Source organism: Homo sapiens, chromosome 14, assembly GCF_000001405.40.
Source record: "Homo sapiens chromosome 14, GRCh38.p14 Primary Assembly".
Taxonomy (NCBI): Eukaryota; Metazoa; Chordata; class Mammalia; order Primates; family Hominidae; genus Homo; species Homo sapiens.
In genome coordinates this window covers 105,940,922-105,961,038 of record NC_000014.9, presented here as the reverse complement: position 1 = coordinate 105,961,038, position 20,117 = coordinate 105,940,922, and the positions used below count along the sequence as shown (strand labels likewise).

At 45.5% G+C, this 20,117-nt stretch overlaps 1 pseudogene and 1 further gene; both read left to right on the top strand.

Moving 5' to 3' along the window:
• The window catches only part of IGH (immunoglobulin heavy locus), a 1,293,408-nt gene that overhangs the window by 918,806 nt on the left and 354,485 nt on the right, over positions 1 to 20,117 (top strand).
• IGHVII-1-1 (immunoglobulin heavy variable (II)-1-1 (pseudogene)) lies at positions 15,648 to 16,101 on the top strand (annotated as a pseudogene). The gene is given in 1 exon segment: positions 15,648 to 16,101. A coding segment is annotated over 1 exon segment (454 nt).

Genomic DNA, 20,117 nt, shown 5'->3' with positions numbered 1-20,117 from the left:
TTGAAAAAAGATCAGATGAGTAGCTAACTAGAATAACCAGTGTAGAGAAGTCCTTAAATGACCTGATGGAGCTGAAAACCATGGTATGAGAACTACGTGATGAATGCACAAGCTTCAGTAGCCGATTCGATCAACTGGAAGAAAGGGTATCAGTGATTGAAGATCAAATGAAAGAAATGAAGGGAGAAGAGAAGTTTAGAGGAAAAAAAAGTAAAAAGAAAGAAACAAACCCTCCAAGAAATATCAGACTATGTGAAAAGACCAAATCTATGTCTGATTGGTGTACCTGAAAGTGACAGGGAGAATGGAACCAAGTTGGAAAACACTCTGCAGTATATTATCCAGCAGAACTTCCCCAACCTAGCAAGACAGGCCAACATTCAAATTCAGGAAATACAGAGAACCCCACAAAGATACTCCTCGAGAAGAGCAACTCCAAGACACATAATTGTTAGATTCACCAAAGTTGAAATGAAGGAAAAAATATTAAGGGCAGCCAGAGAGAAAGGTCGGGTTACCCTCAAAGGGAAGCCCATCAGACTAACAGCTGATCTCTCAGCAGAAACTCTACAAGCCAGAAGAGAGTGGGGGCCAATATTCAACATTCTTAAAGAAAAGAAATTTCAACCCAGAATTTCATATCCATCCAAACTAAGCTTCATAAGTGAAGGAGAAATAAAATCCTTTACAGACAAACAAATGCTGATAGATTTTGTCATCACCAGGCCTGCCCTACAGGAGCTCCTGAAGGAAGCACTAAACATGGAAAGGAACAACTGGTACCAGCCACTGCAAAAACATGCCAAATCATAAAGACCACCAAAGCGAGGAAGAAACTGCATCAACTAACGAGCCAAATAACCAGCTAACATCATAATGACAGGATCAAATTCACACATAACAATATTAACCTTTAATGTAAATGGGCTAAATGCTCCAATTAAAAGACACAGACTGGCAAATTGGATAAAGAGTCAAGACCCATCAGTGTGCTGTATTCAGGAGACCCATCTCACATGCAGAGACACACATAGGCTCAAAATAAAGGCATGGAGGAAGATCTACCAAGCAACTGGAAAACAAAAAAAGGCAGGAGTTGCAATCCTAGTCTCTGATAAAAGAGACTTTAAACCAACAAAGATCAAAAGAGACGAAGAAGACCATTACATAATGGTAAAGGGATCAATTCAACAAGAAGAGCTAACTATCCTAAATATATATGCATCCAATACAGGAGCACCCAGATTCATAAAGCAAGTCCTTGGAGACCTACAAAGAGACTTAGATTCCCACACAATAATAATGGGAGACTTTAACACCCCACTGTCAACATTAGACAGATCAACGAGACAGAAAGTTAATAAGGATATCCAGCAACTGAACTCGGCTCTGCACCAAGCAGACCTAATAGACATCTACAGAACTCTCCACCCCAAATCAACAGAATATACATTCTTTTCAGCACCACACCACACCTATTCCAAAATTGACCACATAGATGGAAGTAAAGCACTCCTCAGCAAATGTAAAAGAACAGAAATTATAACAAACTGTCTCTCAGAGCACAGTGCAATCAAACTAGAACTCAGGATTAAGAAACTCACTCAAAACCACTCAACTACATGGAAACTGAACAACCTGCTCCTGAATGACTACTGGGTACATAATGAAACGAAGGCAGAAATAAAGATGTTCTTTGAAACCAGTGAGAACAAAGACACAACATACCAGAATCTCTGGGACACATTCAAAGCAGAGTGTAGAGGGAAATTTATAGCACTAAATGCCCACAAGAGAAAGCAGGAAAAATCTAAAATTGACACCCTAACATCACAATTAAAAGAGCTAGAGAAGCAAGTGCAAACACATTCAAAAGCCAGCAGAAGGCAAGACATAACTAAGATCAGAGCAGAACTGAAGGAAACAGAGACACAAAAAAACCCTTCAAAAAATCAATGAATCCAGGAGCTGGTTTTTTGAAAAGATCAACAAAATTGATAGACCACTAGCAAGACTAATAAAGAAGAAAAGAGAGAAGAATCAAATAGATGCAATAAAAAATGATAAAGGGGATATCACCACCGATCCCACAGAAATACAAACTACCATCAGAGAATACTATAAACACCTCTACGGAAATAAACTAGAAAATCTAGAAGAAATGGATAAATTTCTCGACACATACACCATCCCAAGACTAAACCAGGAAGAAGTTGAATCTCTGAATAGACCAATAACAGGCTCTGAAATTGAGGCAATAATTAATAGCTTAACAACCAAAAAAAGTCCAGGAACAGATGGATTCACAGCCGAATTCTACCAGAGCTACAAGGAGGAGCTGGTACCATTCCTTCTGAAACTATTCCAATCTATAGAAAAAGAGGGAATCCTCCCTAACTCATTTTATGAGGCCAGCATCATCCTAATACCAAAGCCTGGCAGAGACACAACAAAAAAAAAGAGAATTTTAGGCCAATAACCCTGATGAACATCAATGCAAAAATCCTCAATAAAATACTGGCAAACCGAATCCAGCAGCACATCAAAAAGCTTATCCACCATGATCAAGTGGGCTTCATCCCTGGGATGCAAGTCTGGTTCAACATACGCAAATCAATAAACGTAATCCAGCATATAAACAGAACCAACGACAAAAAACACATGATTATCTCAATAGATGCAGAAAAGGCCTTTGACAAAATTCAACAACACTTCATGCTAAAAACTCTCAATAAATTAGATATTGATGGGACGTATCTCAAAATAATAAGAGCTATCTATGACAAACCCACAGCCAATATCATACTGAATGGGAAAAACTACAAGCATTCCCTTTGAAAGCTGGCACAAGACAGAGACACCCTCTCTCACCACTCCTATTCAACATAGTGTTGGAAGTTCTGGCCAGGGCAATCAGGCAGGAGAAGGAAATAAAGGGTATTCAATTAGGAAAAGAGGAAGTCAAATTGTCGCTGTTTGCAGATGACATGATTGTATATCTAGAAAACCCCATCGTCTCAGCCCAAAATCTCCTTAAGCTGATAAGCAACTTCAGCAAAGTCTCAAGATACAAAATCAATGTGCAAAAATCACACGCATTTCTATAACCCAATAACAGACAAACAGAGAGCCAAATCATGAGTGAACTCCCATTCACAATTGCTTCAAAGAGAATAAAATACCTTGGAATCCAACTTACAAGGGACGTGAAGGACCTCTTCAAGGAGAACTACAAACCACTGCTCAATGAAATAAAAGAGGATACAAACAAATGGAAAAACATTCCATGCTCATGGGTAGGAAGGATCAATATCCTGAAAATGGCCATACTGCCCAAGGTAATTTATAGATTCAATGACATCCCCATCAAGCTACCAATGACTTTCTTCACAGAATTGGGAAAAACTGCTTTAAAGTTCATATGGAACCAAAAAAGAGCCTGCAATGTCAAGTCAATCCTAAGCCAAAAGAACAAAGCTGGAGGCATCACGCTACCTGACTTCAAACTATACTACGAGGTTACAGTAACCAAAACAGCATGGTACTGGTACCAAAACAGAGATACAGACCAATGGAACAGAACAGAGCCCTCAGAAATAATGCCGCATATCTACAACTATCTGATTTTTGGCAAACCTGACAAAAACAAGAAATGGGAAAACGATTCCCTATTTAATAAATGGTGCTGGGAAAACTGGCTAGCCATATGTAGAAAGCTGAAACTGGATCCCTTCCTTACACATTATACAAAAATTAATTCAAGAGGATTAAAGACTTAAATGTTAGACCTAAAACCATAAAAACCCTAGAAGAAAACCTAGGCAATACCATTCAGGACATAGGCATGGGCAAGGACTTCATGTCTAAAACACCAAAAGCAATGACAACAAAAGCCAAAATTGACAAATGGGATCTAATTAAACTAAAGAGCTTCTGCACAGCAAAAGAAACTACCATCAGAGTAAACAGGCAACCTACAGAATGGGAGAAAATTTTTGCAATCTACTTATCTGACAAAGGGCTAATATCCAGAATCTACAATGAACTCAAACAAATTTACAAGAAAAACAAACAACCCCATCAAAAAGTGGGCAAAGGATATGAATAGACACTTCTCAAAAGAAGACATTTATGGAGCCAAAAGACACATGAAAAAATGCTCATCATCACTAGCCATCAGAGAAATGCAAATCAAAACCACAATGAGATACCATCTCACACCAGTTAGAACAGCGATCATTAAAAAGTCAGGAAACAACAGGTGCTGGAGAGGATGTGGAGAAATAGGAACACTTTTACACTGTTGGTGGGACTGTAAACTAGTTCAACCATTGTGGAAGTCAGTGTGGCGATTCCTCAGGGATCTAGAACTAGAAATACCATTTGACCCAGCCATCCCATTACTGGGTATATACCCAAAGGATTATAAAACATGCTGCTATAAAGACACATGCACACGTATGTTTATTGCGGCACTATTCACAATAGCAAAGACTTGGAACCAACCCATATGTCCAACAATGATAGACTGGATTAAGAAAATGTGGCACATATACACCATGGAATACTCTGCAGCCATAAAAAAGGATGAGTTCATGTCCTTTGTAGGGACATGGATGAAGCTGGAAACCATCATTCTCAGCAAACTATCACAAGGACAAAAAGACAAACACTGCATGTTCTCATTCATAGGTGGGAATTGAACAATGAGAACACTTGGACACAGGAAGGGGAACATCACACACCAGGGCCTGTTGTGGGGTGGGGGGAGTGGGGAGGGATAGCATTAGGAGATATACCTGATGTTAATTGATGAGTTTATGGGTGCAGCACACCAACATGGCACATATATACATATGTAACAAACCTGCACGTTGTGCACATGTACCCTAAAACTTAAAGTATAATAAAAAAATTTTTAAAAAAAGAAACACCTGCTTTTTTCTGTTTTCCATTTGCTTAGTAGATTTTTCTCCATCCTTTTACTTTGAGCCTGGGGATGTCATTGCATGTGAGATGGGTCTCTTGAAGACAGCATACATTTGGGTCTTGCTTCTTTCTCCAACTTGGCAATTCTCTGCCCTTTAATTGGGGCATTTAGCCCATTTACATTCAAGGTTAATATTGATATGTGCATATTTCATCCTGTTATCATGTTGTTAGCTGCTCAATATGCAGATTTGATTGTATAGTTGATTTATAGTGGCAATCGTTATGTACTTAAGTGTGTTTTTGTGGTGGCCAGTAACGTTCTTCCATTATCATATTTAGCAATCCCTTAAGGGCCTCTTGTAAGGCAATCTAGTGGTGATGAATACCCTTAGCATTTGCTTGTCTGAAAAGGATCTTATTTCTCCTTCACTTGTGAAGCTTCGTTTGGCTAGATATGAAATTCTTGCTTGGAATTTCTTTTCTTTAAGAATGCTGAATATAGGCCCCCAATCTCTTCTGGATTGTACAGTTTCTGCTGAAACCTCCATTGTTAGCCTCATTGGGTTCCCTTTGTATGTGACCTGAACCTTCTTTCTAGCTGCCTCTAATATTTTTTTTCCTTTCAACCTTTAAGAGTCTGATGTCTGATGGCTATATGTCTTAGGGATGGTTGTCATGTATAATATCATGCAGAGGTTATTTGCATTTCTTGAATTTGAATGTTGGCCTCTCTGGTGAGGTTGGAGAAATTTTCATGGAGGATAGCCTGAAATGTTTTTCAAGTTTCTTTTTTTCTCTTTCTCTTCTTAAGGGATACCAATGTGTCATAGATCTGGTCTTTTTACATAATTGCACATTTCTCTGAGGTTTTATGCCTTCTTTTTTATTCTTTGTTCTTTATTTTTGTCTGACTGAGTTAATTCAGAGAATCAGTTTTTAAGCTCTGTGATTCTTTCCTCAGCTTGGTCTATTCTGCTGTTAATACTTGTAATTGTATTCTGAAATTCTTGAAGTGAGTTTTTTAGCTCTATCAAATCAGTTTGGTTCTTTCTTAAAATGGCCATTTCATCTTTCAGCTTCTGTATCATTTTACTTTATTTCTTAGCTCCCTTGGATTGGGTTTCAACATTCTCCTGAATCTCAGTGATCTTCTTTCCTGTGCATATTCTGAATTCTATGTCTGTCATTTCAGCCATTTCAGTCAGGTTAAGAACCATTGCTGGGAAACCAGTGTGATTATTTGGAGGTAAGAAGACACTCTGGATTTTAGAGTTGCAGAGTTTCTTGCATTAATTCTTTCTCATCTTTGTGGGCTGTTTCTTTAATCTTTGAAGTGGCTGTCCTTTGGATGTTTTTGTCTTTTTTGTTGTTTTTTGGTGTGTGTTTTTGTTTGTTTGTTCATTTGTTTGTTTTTTGCTCTTATCTTCTTTGATACTCTTGCAGGTTTGATTGTGGTATAAAGTGGATTCAGTTAGCAGTGTTTCTTGAAAATCTTAGAGAGTCCAGGCTCACCTCAGCACTCTTGTGGTGTGTTCTCTGCTCTGGGACTGGGCCCCTGGCTTTATTCTCTGGCCCCTTGAGTTTAGAAACTTGCTGCATTGGAGGGGCTGAGGTGTTCCCAGTCCATTGGCCACAACACTATAGTAGGGGGTGCCGGCCAAAGCACTTCATTAGAGTGGTGGCAGTGGGATCCATTCTTACTCATGGGTGCCAGCAGTTGTGGAGTCATGGCAGGGTGCACATGCATCTGCTGGGGTGGGGGTACTGGCAGGAGCAGAGTGGCAGCATCCCTACATAGGTTCCTGCTGGCAGTCACAGCGCAGTGAGGTGTCCGTGTGTTGGCAGGGACAGGGTGGTGGGGCACACATGCACATGCTTGCTGGTGGTAGAGGGAGTTGTGATCTGCTGTGCACTCATGCCAGCAAAGCAGTTGGGAGGTACTATGGGTGGACTGGTGCACATCAGCAGAGGCTGGCCTGCTGGAGGTCTCCAATGGTTAGGCATGGTCTGCTGGCAAAGGAGCTATGATGAGGGCCCCCAGGAAACACCCTGGTTGGGCTTCCAAGGCTGTACTGCAAGCAGGCACAGCCAGCCTGGGGCCCCAGGAGAGGCCAGAAGGCAAGGAAATTCTCATTTCAGATGGGCCCTGTCCCATGGACAAGACCACCCTGCTTTATTCAGGTCCCATAGTCACTCTAAGGTTAAAATCTCCTAGAGGAGGTTGGTGAGCCTTGGGGGATGGGTGTCCCCTGGCTGTGCTCCACTACAGCCATTCTCATGTCAAACACTCTGGGCTTTACACAGACTGGAGTCCTGCCCCTGGCATCTCTCTAAGCAGCTGTCCCTTCCAGCACAAGTGTCCATGGGGGTCATGGGGTCTCCTGCTGCTAGGATTCTGGAGGCCCATGGCAACAGCAGGCCACTCCTCACCTGTTCAACTCAACCTTTCCCCAGGAGTTGCTGGGAGCCAGGAATGAGTCCTGGTGCTTGGCATCCCCATGCAGGGTTCCCATCTTCCTCCACCTTCAGCTCAGCATCTGTGTCCTCCCCCATCTACTCTCAATCCACTCTCAATGCCTCCCCTTCAAAGATCTGCTTGGAAAGCACCCGTCTTCCTGATGTCTCACTCCCTCCATGACAGATATTCCTCCTGGCTGCATCTAGTCAGCCATCTTGACTCACCTCTGAAGTCTTTTTAATTACCACTTCGGTTAAATTAGTAACTATCATTTTACAATGGCCTGTGATTCTGTTTTGATCAAATATTTTGAGCCTTTTAGCATCTATAACAAATGTTCTCAAAAATCAAAATCCTAAATCAAGTCTCTGACTTAGTCTTATTTCTGGGGCTTATTAAGGCTATAAAAACTAATCACCATAAGGTTGTACAAGCTTTTTACAGCTTCCAGTCAGGCTATGAACTCCAGTATCACCACCTCCAGCCTCATAATTACATATATTGGAAGAAAATCAGTTAAAGGACTCCCTCTAGACCCTTGAAAGGGTGTGAGAGACAACATGGTTTCGCCTGCCTTCATGTGTCCCAGTCCATCCCTGTGGCTGCCTCTGTCCACCTCAGCTTGCCCACTGTCTTTCCTTCCCAACTGTCTGCCCTGCTGACTTCTGGCTTCAGTGACAGATGCAAAGACAAGGTGACAGCCCCACATAGACCATTTAACCAGTCCCACATTTGCATAAGCTAAATGGTCATGTAACAGTCTGTTGCCCAGGCTGGTCTCAAACTCCTGGGCTCAAGTGATCCACCCACCTTGACCCCCAAGGTGCTGGGATTACAGGCTTGAGCCACAGTGCCCAGCCAAGAACCCGTTTTTGAGTGGGCACCTTGGCACACACCTGTAAACGCAACACTTTGGGAGGCCAAGGTGGGAGTGTGGCTTGAGGCCAGGAGGTTGAGGTTGCAGTGAGCTATGATGGCACCACCTCACTCCAGCGTGGGTGGCAGAGTGAGATCCTTTCGAAAAAAAAAAAAAAAAAACTTGTTTTCTCTGCAGCCGGGCTCCGTGACCAAACACAAACACAAACTTCCCCTCCAGAGGGTCCAGGAGGGGCTGGGCTGCAGGAGGTGCTTAGGGCCTCTTAGGGAATGGTAAGTGACCACCCAACGCAGGCACTCAGCCCCAGGGGCATATGCAGAGAGAGGGTCCAGGAGGAGCTGGGCTGCAGGAGGTGCTTAGGGCCTCTTAGGGAATGGTAAGTGACCATCCAACGCAGGCACTCAGCCCCAGGGGCATATGCAGAGAGAGGCTGGGAGGACACTTTCAGTGACTGGGGTTACAAACCCCAACCATAAGACATTGCTGGCTCTGTGAGCCGCCACCTCCAGAAATCTCCCACTTAGTTCTTAGCACTTATCCACTCTTCCCTTTTCCTACTCTCAATTCCTGGAGGATGCCCTCCTTTCTCAGGCTCAGACCAACCTACCAGCTCCACTCTAGACCTGAACACATAACTCCTCCCTCTGTCTCCACCTGGAAATCTCATCAGTGCCTCACATTTACACTCCTGAAAATCAGGTCCTGCCTACCCACCCTCTTGCTCCACCTGATTCCTGCCCTGTTTCAGCCAGAGACCTTGCAGTCTCCTTTAACTCTCAAACCCACCCATGTCGTGTGAGCATACTGACTGTGTTCTATGCAAGAAAGAGCAGTTTCTTGGTGGTCCTGCGGTTTTATTAGTCCAGAGGCAAAGCGTTGGCAGAGCTGGTTTCTTCTGAACCCTGGGAGGGAGATTCTGTTTTCATGCCTTTTCCAGATTCTAGAACCCATATTCCTTGCTCTGTGTCCCCTTCTTCCATCTTCAAAGGCCATCCTCTCATCTCTGTGTCCATCATCACATCACCCTTCCCCTGACTCTGGTTCTCCTGCTTCCACTTATAAGCACCCCTGTGATTACATCATACCCACCCAGACAATGCAGGGCCATATTCTCCCCTCTCGAGATTAATTTAATCACATCTACAAAGTTCCTCGTGCCATATGAGGTCACTAAACCACATGTTCTGGGGGTTTGAATGTAAACATTTGGGGGATGCATTATTCAGCCACCCACAAGCACTGCTCCCCACTGGCCACACACTATGCACAGCCGAGATCATGCAAGTGAGGCACGTTCATCAACAGCAGCTTCAGCAGGAAACTATATGCTCCACTTTCCTGCCATTTGTATCTGGATTTTTTTTTCGCTATCATTGTAGAAAGAGTGGTATTGTAAAATTAAAGATGGATTATTTTCTTTCTAGAACACTTTGGCAATCTATCCAACATTATTTATCCCCTTCTGAGTGTCAAGTGTGAGGTCATTCTTTCATTGAGAGCTCAATGCCTACAATTATGATAATGCATATTGGGTACTTTCACACATCAGAAAGTTCTTCTTTCTTAAAATCTGTTCTTGAATTATTCATTCTTCTCTAGCTTTTTGTTGATCTATTTTATAATTTTAGAAAAATCAGAAAGTAACTTGAAGTATCTGTCATCTCTACAGGTTTACCTCCCTCTTTGTGGCCTTCAGAATGTCATGACACGCTTTTCCCTTGCTCATCACATGGTTTCTATGTATGAGACCTCATCACAGGAGCTGTGGTCCCCCGGGAGCAGGCATCTGTGGATGGTGCCTTGCTCCTGGCTGCTGGGACCTGTGTGCTGCCAGTGGCACTCCACGACGGTGATTTCCCAGCTCAGTTTTGCAGCTCCAGATGGTGGGTGAGACACTAGGACCACTTTGTGAACAGCGAGGGCTTGGGGTTTGCTTTTCTACCATGTCCAGGGCTGCTGTTCATGAGGGAATGTTTCTAACCTGACATCATGGCTGAAGCCAACTTAGAACCTCTCTAGCCGTATGGGGAGTAGGTGAGTGATACAGATGTTAATTAGCTCAGTGGAGCCACTCCCCTATGTAGACATGTTACAAAACATTATGCTGTACAGAATAAATATAGGTCATTTTTATGTGTCAATCAAAAGAGAAACTAATTATTTAAAAAAAAAAAAACCTCTCTACTCAAGCCGAAACCTCAGCTCCAGTCCCACAAGTCACACAAGGCTGCTCCCGTCCTGTGTATGTTAAACCTACCTCAGAAATGCAAGGGGCATTCAGGTTTCATTCTCAATTCAAATGCCCTTTTTAATTTTGTCTATTCCTAGCACCTGGCAACTTCCAGCTCTTTTTTTCGGGCTCATTCATTATTTAAAGCACGTATAATTTTTCACCCACATTCTAACACATGTAGTACTGTAGAGAATCCTTCCCTAGGAGGATCTACAGCATTAGAAAAGAATTAAGAACTCCAATATTTACAAGAAGGAAAAAGCAAAAAGAGATCAAAAAATGGGCAACTTCTAGAAATAGAAAACCCTCATGAGTATGATGATAAATCGCTGGCACACATGTGAATAGTTACTTGATGCTTATAGTGATGTCTGGGAAAATAACATGAAATACTTATAATCTGTTTCTCACACATGTAATTCAAAAGAATAGAGAGAAGATGATTTGAAATATTCTTAAGTTTGTAGGAAAAAAGCTACTTCCATATGCATAATTGCATGTATTTTGATACTGCCATTATTAAGAACTATCTAAGAGGGTCCATTAAAAATAAAATTTCTTGGCTGGGCACAGTGGCTCATGCCTGTATCCCAGCACTTTGGAAGGCCGAGGCAGGTGGCTCACCTGAGGTCAGAAGTTCAAAACCAGCCTGGCCAACATGGTGAAACGCTGTATCTACCAAAAATACAAAAATTAGCTGGGCATGGTGGCATGCACCTGTAGTCTGAGCTACTTGGGGGGCTGAGGCAGGATAATCGTTTGAACCCAAGAGGTGTAGGTTGCAGTGAGCTAAGATCATACCACCGCACTCCAGCCTGACAGACAAAGCAAGACTCTGTCTCAAAAATATTAAAATAAAATTTCTCATTCCTATTACAGAGTAATTTAATTCATTAATGCCCTGCCCTGTTACAAAACTCATTTGTAAAATACTAATTGTAATTGTGAAAAAATGGCAATTGATACTAATTTTAAATTCTAAAAACAGGGCACCCATATTAAAGATTATTCTGCAGTAAGAGAATTAGCTATAACATTTTGTAATAAGGTGGAGAAAACATTCTCCAACTTACAATGGTTGGTGAGAAGAAAGTTTCCAGCACGGTAGATGGACCCTAAGAGCCCTTGTTGAAATAATAAGACAAAAAGATATACAGAGAGATAAGCCAGATGAAGGGAGACAGAGAGAGAGAGAGAGAGAGAGAGAGAGAGGCACAGAAATGAGAGATACAAAGTGAAAGAGGGCAACCTGTGGGGTCATCAGACAGACACAGGGGAAGAGGAGAAACACAGGGCGGTGGCTTGCCCTTGGACTGTTCTTAGTTCCTCAAAACGTAACAGCTTTGCCCAACCTAAGGGAACTTTCAGCAGCTGCTCTTCTGCCATAGGCCTCTTTCCTGCCTTGTTTTCATGTGGCTGACTGTTTCTGTTCCTGCAGGTCTTAGCTCATCAGACAGGCATTTATTACCTCTGTGTCAACAGTGGGAGCTTCCATTACTCTCTAGCATGACACTCCCCTTCCTCTTTTAGGAAATTTAACATGGAAGTGAGTTTGCCATCGGCCTTCTCCCCACAGTGTTAACAGTGGTGAGGAAGCCAGCCTGTTCCACCTTGCCCCTCCCATGATTCCAACACTGAGTTCAGACTTGTCACATGGAACTTATCTTTGCATGTTTGTGGCACAGACAGATGGACCCAACCATGGATTAGTGGATGGATGGATGGATGGATGGATGGATGGATGGATAGATGGATGGATGGATGGCTGAGTAGGTGTGTGGATGGAAGAGTGAAAAGATAGATGGATGCATGTATGGGTGGATGGGTAGGTTGATGGATGCATGGATGGGTGGATGGATGGGTGAGTGGATGAATGGGTGGGTAGGTGGGTGGCTACATGCATGGATGAGTACTTGGATAGATAAGTGAGTGGATGGATGGATGGATGGATGAATGGGTATGTGAAGGGATGGATGTATTAGAGTGGGTAATTAGGCAGGCATGAGCTGATAGTCAAGGGATTGTTAAACTGCCTCTCTAAAATAATTATTGGTCTCGGCTGGACGCGGTGGCTCATGTCTGTAATCCCAACACTTTGGGAGGCTGAGGTGGGCGGATCACAAGGTCAAGAGATTGAGACCATCCTGACCAACATGGTGAAACCCTGTCTTTACTGAAAATACAAAAATTAGCTGGGCGTGGTGGCGTGCATCTATAGTTCCAGCTACTCGGGAGGCTGAGGCAGGAGAATTGCTTGAACCTGGGAGGAAGAGGCTGCAGTGAGCTGAGATTGTGCCACTGCACTCCAGCCTGGTGACAGAGCAAAGCTCTGTCTCAAATAATAATAATAATAATAAATAATAATTGATCTCAGCCAGCGCCAAGAAAAGGCAGTCTCCCAATAGATAGAAAACACCCGAAACTGGTCATCAGCAGCTTCCTGATAAGATCTCAGGCATTGGGTGAGTGGGCTCAAGCATATGCACTAAGAGGCAAAGTGGCAGAGTTTAACTGGCACATAATCTTCCTCTAGGAACACTCTAATAGTAAGAGAAGGACACCTCAAATGAGCATGTGCACATTTCATTAAACCCACTGTGTATGCAGCCCCTCCCAAGTGCTGGCAGGCCACTGTACATGTGGGCAGCCCACTCCAAGGGAAGAATCAAGGGAGAAGAAATACAAATCCCAGAACCATGTCAATGTATAAAACCCCAAGTCAAGGGCCGGACAGAGCACTTAGATCTCTCAAGTCGCCCACTTAGCCCTCTTCCAAGTGTACTTTACTTCCTTTAGTTCCCACTTTAAAACTTTAATAAACATTTACTCCTGCTCTAAAACTTGCTTGGGTCTCTCACTCTTCTGTATGCCCCTTGGCCAAATTCTTTCCTCCAAGGAGGCGAGAATCAAGTTGCTGCAGACCTGTATGGATTCGCTCCTGCTAACAGATAGCTGGATGGGTGGACAGATGCATGAATTAGTGGATGGACGTTTGGATGTGTGGGTGGGTGGGTGGATTGTGGGATGGCTGGATGAATGCATGGCTGGATGGGTGGACACATGCATGAATTAGTGGATGGATGTTTGGATGTGTGGGTGGGTGGGTGGATTGTGGGATGGCTGGATGAATGCATGGCTGGATGGGTGGACAGATGCATGAATTCGTGGATGGACGTTTGGATGTGTGGGTGGGTGGGTGGATTGTGGGATGGCTGGATGAATGCATGGCTGGATGGGTGGACAGATGCATGAATTCGTGGATGGACGTTTGGATGTGTGGGTGGGTGGGTGGATTGTGGGATGGCTGGATGAATGCATGGCTGGATGGGTGGACAGATGCATGAATTCGTGGATGGACGTTTGGATGTGTGGGTGGGTGGGTGGATTGTGGGATGGCTGGATGAATGCATGGCTGGGTGGGTGGATGGATGCATGGATAAGTGGTGGACGGATGGACGGGTGAGTGGATGGGTGGATGTGTGTGTGGATGGGTGGATAGGAAAGCCCTCTAATTGATTACAGGGCTCAGTGTGTGCTTCAACATCATGATGGCATCATCACATTGGTCCCTGTATGAAGCAGTGGGGGAGGAGAGTGTACCAGGGGAGCAGGAATGACTTTTCTCCAGAATCGACCTCTCCCACCCTGCAGCCTGGGCTGTGCAGGCCACATTGGAGAAGGTGCGGTCGACTACTCCTAAATGTTGTTGTGTCCAATGGCTTGTTGACGTTGATGTAGGAATGAGCCTACATCTCCACCATAGATGGAACTGTTTGGGTCCCCAAAGCAGAAAGCCTCTTCTGTTGCAGGTGCTGAAGTTTCCATCTTCTTCTGCTTATACGGAAGCTCACGCATCCCTTGGGTGGCAGGCGTCAGGTTCCTGTGCGCACTGAGTTCCCCCCTTACATGCTTTGGACAGAAGTGTGAGACACACAAGATTGCTGCAGGAAGTCCACCTGTGGGGATGCTGCGACTTCTCCAGCAAGAACACGAGTCTGCTCATTGACCATCACCACACATAACAAATTAAGTGTCCCTTTTTTGATAACACGTCATTGTTTCACAGAGTATTCTTTTAAAGTGTATAAGTTGACTGCAGTTATTATTTTTTACTTCTGTTACTAATTTACTCATAATTAGGCACAATTTACACTTAAGAAATTTCTTAATAGTTTTTTCCTCCTTAAGGTGAACTACAGTCAGATAACATACTTATCAATTGTCTCTAGCTCTTGTCAGAAAAACATATAGATGTGTGTGTGCGTGTGTCTTGGCCTTTCCAATGATGAATTAAGATGTGCATTGAGAAGGCATTCACTTTATTTGACGTTAAGGAAGTACCAAGAAGACGCTCTCCACAGACCCTGGGAAAGCCAGCAGCTGCACCCCGAGGCTGTGCCAGGCAGGGAACAAGGAGGCAGCACCACCTGCTGGGCAGGGAAAATGTCCTCCCAGTCCCTGCCGCTTCTCTGCAGAGGCACAAAGAGCTGCCCCTTCTCCTGGGCCTTCTCCTGGGCTGATGAGATTGCTCCCCGATATGCCAAATCAGGGTTGTGCATCTGAGGCTCTGTCTAGACTCTCAGCTCCTTCCTACTCCTGCAAAGTGAAGAAAACAATGCCAAGGGGTCCTGGAGGCGTCTCTACCCCTGGAGAGTTTTGACTCTCTTCAATAGTCTCCACTACCCTGCCCTCACTCCATGTCCTCCGTTTCTCCCTAAAGCGGTGCCCAGTCTGATTGCACTGTGGCAGGGATAACGAGGGGCCAGGACATCAGGGGAGAGAAGTTTCTACCTGAGTCACAGCAGCGGCTGCCCTGCAGACTCCTGAAGACACAAGACACATTTCCATCCCAGAGACCCAGCGAAATGCAACCTCAAACTAGAGACAGCCAGTTATTTTTTCTTGTTCTGTCCTGGAGAGGCCACTGAGAAAGTCGAGCCCCTTGTTGAGGAAAACATGAGATCTCTGTGTGTCGTCCTCTGCCTGATGGCTGTACCTCCATGTGAGTGTCTCAGAGATTTCAGAACGGGGGCTGTGGGCTGTGGTGTCCGCTTGTGACTCATCTCTTTGCTTCTTGTCCCTGAGTGTCCTGCATCAGATGCAGCTACTGGAGTCATGCCCAGGGCTGGTGAGGTCCTCACAGACCTCTGGGCCTGGACCCAGCAGCCCTCTGGGAAGGCGCTGGGGCACCTCAGCTCCAGGGGCAGCACACACTTCAGCCCAGCCTTTCTGGGCCAACTCTCCATCTGTAGAGACACATCCAAGGCCCAGTTATCCCTGCAGCTGAGCTCCGTGATGGCCAAGGGCAGGGCCGCACATTCCCGTGGGAGACAGAATGGGGACCTCAGCGTGAGCCCAGACACAAACCTCCCTGCAGGGAAGCACAAGACCACCAGGCGGCGCTCCAGACCACACAGCGGCCCCAGAAGCAGGTTTTAGGGGGCGGGGCAGACGTGTCCGCGTTGAGTCAGGTCATTGGTTTTACTTTCCCTGAGCAAACGGCCTCTGCCAAGGACTCACTGCACCTCTCACCTTCACAGTTGTTTTTTTTTTTTTTTTTTAATCACCCTGTAGAGTTTTGCTAGCTAATTTAGATATTGAGGAGTGCTTCATACTTCCTTGGGCCTCTGCTTGCAGAAACATAGCAATTGTAAGGAGGCACGTGGGAAAGCCCCGGCTCGGTGACCCGGGGGATGCTGCTGTGGCCCTGGCAAGAGGGCGTCGGGCCGCAGTAACAAAGGTGCAGACGGCTCTCAGCCTGCGCCCGCGGAGTACAACACATAAGGGCTGTAACCTAACGAAAAAAGAATCGCAGTGCAACTGTCCTGCATTTGAGTTTGTGATCAGTTTTGCCCTTTGTCTTTAACAGGTTCTAACATAAAATTTTGAATGTTGGTTCAAGCCCTGTGGGTAAAATGCACTTACCCACATTCCTTAAACAAATAGAACACTGAGGTGGAAATGTTTTGAAAAAGTAGTTTTCAGACATTTGGAAACAAGCATCACAGGATCATAACCCCTGAGAAAAGAAAAACAAATGAACGAATCCTGCTATTGCCTGAAAGCAGCTGCCAGGACACACGGAAAGGCTTAGTGAGCTGAGCGGACAGAGAGCAGAGTTCAAGGCAGCAGCAGCCCGAGGGGAGGAGCACCGGGGAGCAGGCTGCTGTGCAGCCAGGATGGGCCGGGGTGGGGCGGGGGGAGAACAGCTGGAGACTTGCCGCAGGGAGGGGGATCCCTCAGGTTTGGGGCTGAGAACTGACTTATGCCTGACTTATGCCTGCATGAAAAGAAACTACTCGATATCAGGGGGAAATCACCAGAAACCTGTGGACCCAAAACTACACAGAGCCTACACAAGGAAAGCATTGTTTGTGTTCTCCCAGCCAGGGTGGAAAGACCTTGAGATATGTAAAGCTTCAAGCAATCTTCCGAAGTAATCTCGTGAGTAGTGGTGCCACATTAATTCAGGACTAAAGGCTGCTCTGAACTGAACCTAAGAAATGCTTCAAGTGTAGCCTGGAGCCCGGGTGCAGTGGCTCACACCTGTAATCCCAGCACTGTGGGAGGCCGAGGCAGGCGGATCACTTGAGGTCAGGACTTTGAGACCAGCCTGGCCAACATGGCAAAACCTGTCTCTACTAAAAACACAAAAATTAGCTGGGCGTGGTGGCAGATGCCTGTAATCACCTCCCACCTGGACCCTTCCTTGATACATCAGAATTACAACTAGAGATGAGATTGGGGTGGGGACACAGAGCCAAACCGTATCACATAGGAACCTAAAAGGATAATAAAGTAGGAAAACTTCCCACATCAGTAACCCTTTATCCGATAGTAATCCCAATCTGCAAAGTAAAACTGTGTGATTTTACTAAGATAACGGAATCTTCTCTACAGGACTTTCCAGTGCAAAAGCTCCCCACCCTCACCATGAAATGCACGTGACCATTTCCAATTTGTGTAAAGTCCTCAGTTAGTACTGAGACTTCGGAAGGTTAGAAATCCCTTTGCTCATGCTGCATGGTCCGGATGAGATGTAAGAATCATTAGCTAATAGACATGCAACAGCTTTTGTGTGAAAGATGTTATGAGACATTTAAGGTATTTGCTTGTGATTACTAAGCATTCATTGTATCATTGGAGCACATGTGCTTTTATACCCTGGAGAAATTCCAGTAATTGAATTGCTGGGTTGAATGGGATTTTGATTTGGATTAAATTTAAACTATAGATTTTATTTAGGGAAAACTGGCATCTTAATTATGTTATTGGGGGGCCCTTGCTCCCAGAGCTCCCAAGATGGTGGCAGGCCGCTTCCAAAATGACCGCAGGCCACTTCCAAGATGGTGGCAAGCCTCATGTTCTCTGACCTGGGGTTCTTGGCCTCACGGATTCCAAGGAATGGAAGCTTGGGCCATGCAGTGAGTGTTATAGCTCTATTAGAAGCCGTGGGTCACGGAAGAGAACCGTGGAACCCAGTGACTAGTGTTCAGCTCGATTAGGACGAACCCAGGCACTTAGCCGTGCAGGAACAATGGCGAGCATTTGGTCCGATCGAGAGTGGCAATGGGCGCCTCGCTGGATCAGGAGCACAGCGGATACCCTGATGGATCCGGAGGGATGGAAGCCAGCGGTGGGTCTCCCACGGGGGCAAACAGCAGTGGTGGACGGTGAGCGAAAGCGAAGCTCGAGCCGTAACAAACATGGACCAGAAGAGTGCAGTTGCAAGATTTAGTAGAGTGAAGACAGAGCTCCCATACAAAGGGAGGGGACCCAAAGAGGGTAGCTGTTACCGGCTCGAATGCCTGGGTTTATATCCCGATCATTGTCCCTCCCGCTGTGCTCTCAGGTGATAGATGATTGGCTATTTCTTTACCTCCTGCTTTTGCCTAATTAGCATTTTAGTGAGCTCTCTTTACTATCTGATTGGTCGGGTGTGAGCTGAGTTGCAAGCCCCGTGTTTAAAGGTGGAAGTGGTCACCTTCCCAGCTGGGCTTAGGGATTCTTAGTCGGCCTAGGAAATCCAGCTAGTCCTGTCTCTCAATTACACTGAGTTTTCCAATCCATGCATCCAATATGTGGTGTATCTCTTCATATGTTCATAGCCTCTGAGCAATGTTTTACAATTTTCTGTGTAAAGAACTCCACATCGTTTTATGTTTCTTCTAAGGTATATCCTGATTGCTTTTTATGTCTTCACAAGTTTTTTCCTTTCAAAATTAATTTTCCAATTGTTTGGTGCTAATATGCTCAAATGTCCTTGATTTTCTTAGTTTGAACAGTCCGTTTTTGTTTTGGGGATTTATTTTTTTTTCAGATTCTTTAAGATTTTCTATGTCTATAACCATATAATCTCTGAACAGAGACAGTTTTGCTTTTTCCTTTCAACTTGAGGTAGGTTTTCTGGGTAGTTCAGGACGCGCAGGCACTGGGTGGGTGGTGTTAGCAGCTGCACGGTGCCTTGGAGAGGACACTCTCGGGGGACTGTGGCCGCTGCTCAGCTGTGACCGTTCTTATAGCACCAGCAGCTGCGGCCACCATTCTTATCCAATTTCCAAAGCCACACCACAGGCCCTCTCAAGAACGAGGCGTGGAGGCTATGCCCTCTCCTGGACACATCATCATTCCCAAGCCCCACGATGTGGGCCCCATGGGACGCACACCTTTGTCTGTCCAGACCTCAGCCCCACCTCCTCATCCTGCACCAGAACTCTTCAGAGCCCAGTGCATGAAATGGGCTACCAAGGAAATGAGGGTAGGTTCCTGAGAGGAAACTGGCCCTGCATTTGGGAGCTAGGAGTCTGCTAATTCGCCTGGCAGCACTGTGCAGCCCTCCGTGGCTACAGTCCACCCCGTGCCCATCAGTGCCTCCTTCCTGTGCAAGCCTGGACCTCGCCCTGGGCTCAGGATGGGCTGTAGACCGAGAATGCAGGCGGGAAAGTCTTTGTCTATCGGGGCCATAGTCAGGTTCTACAGTGAGTCAGGGAAAGGCCTGTGGAGGTGTGGATGAGGACAATGGGTCCACCATCAACAGGAGGACACAGGTTCGACCCCTTGCAGAGGCACAGTCCCACATCACTGGGAGGCAGCCACACTCACTGCCTCGCCCTCTCCTCACACAGTGCAGTTTCCATGTTCACAGCCCCAGCCAGTCACCAGGAATGCCCTGGGGGCGGCCTTTCCCCAGTGCACTCCGAGCCCTCCCTTGGCTGTGCGGTGAGCTCCATGCCCAGGAGATATCCACCCATAGTCCTCCGGAAAGCAGCTGACCTGCCATGCCCTGGAACCACAAATCCCCACAGATCAGCCAGCCTGCAGTGGGCCTTGGATGTGGTGAGGAGTGGTGGCACCCCCGTTCCCACCCCACAGATGCAACGCCTGTGGGTGACGCATGTGAGTACTGAGGAGTAGAGGGTAGAACTGTAGGCCCCGAGAACCACAGAAACTCGGGTGTTACACTCTGGGGCCATGTAAGGAGAAAGTGTCACTGGACAGAAACAGGCCCCTCCTAGACACTGTGTGCGCCATAGTCACCTGTCATTAGCTCTCACTCTTGCAGATTCATGATTGAGGTGGTTAAAAAAAAAAAAGCTCCTACTCACCCATCCAACCCC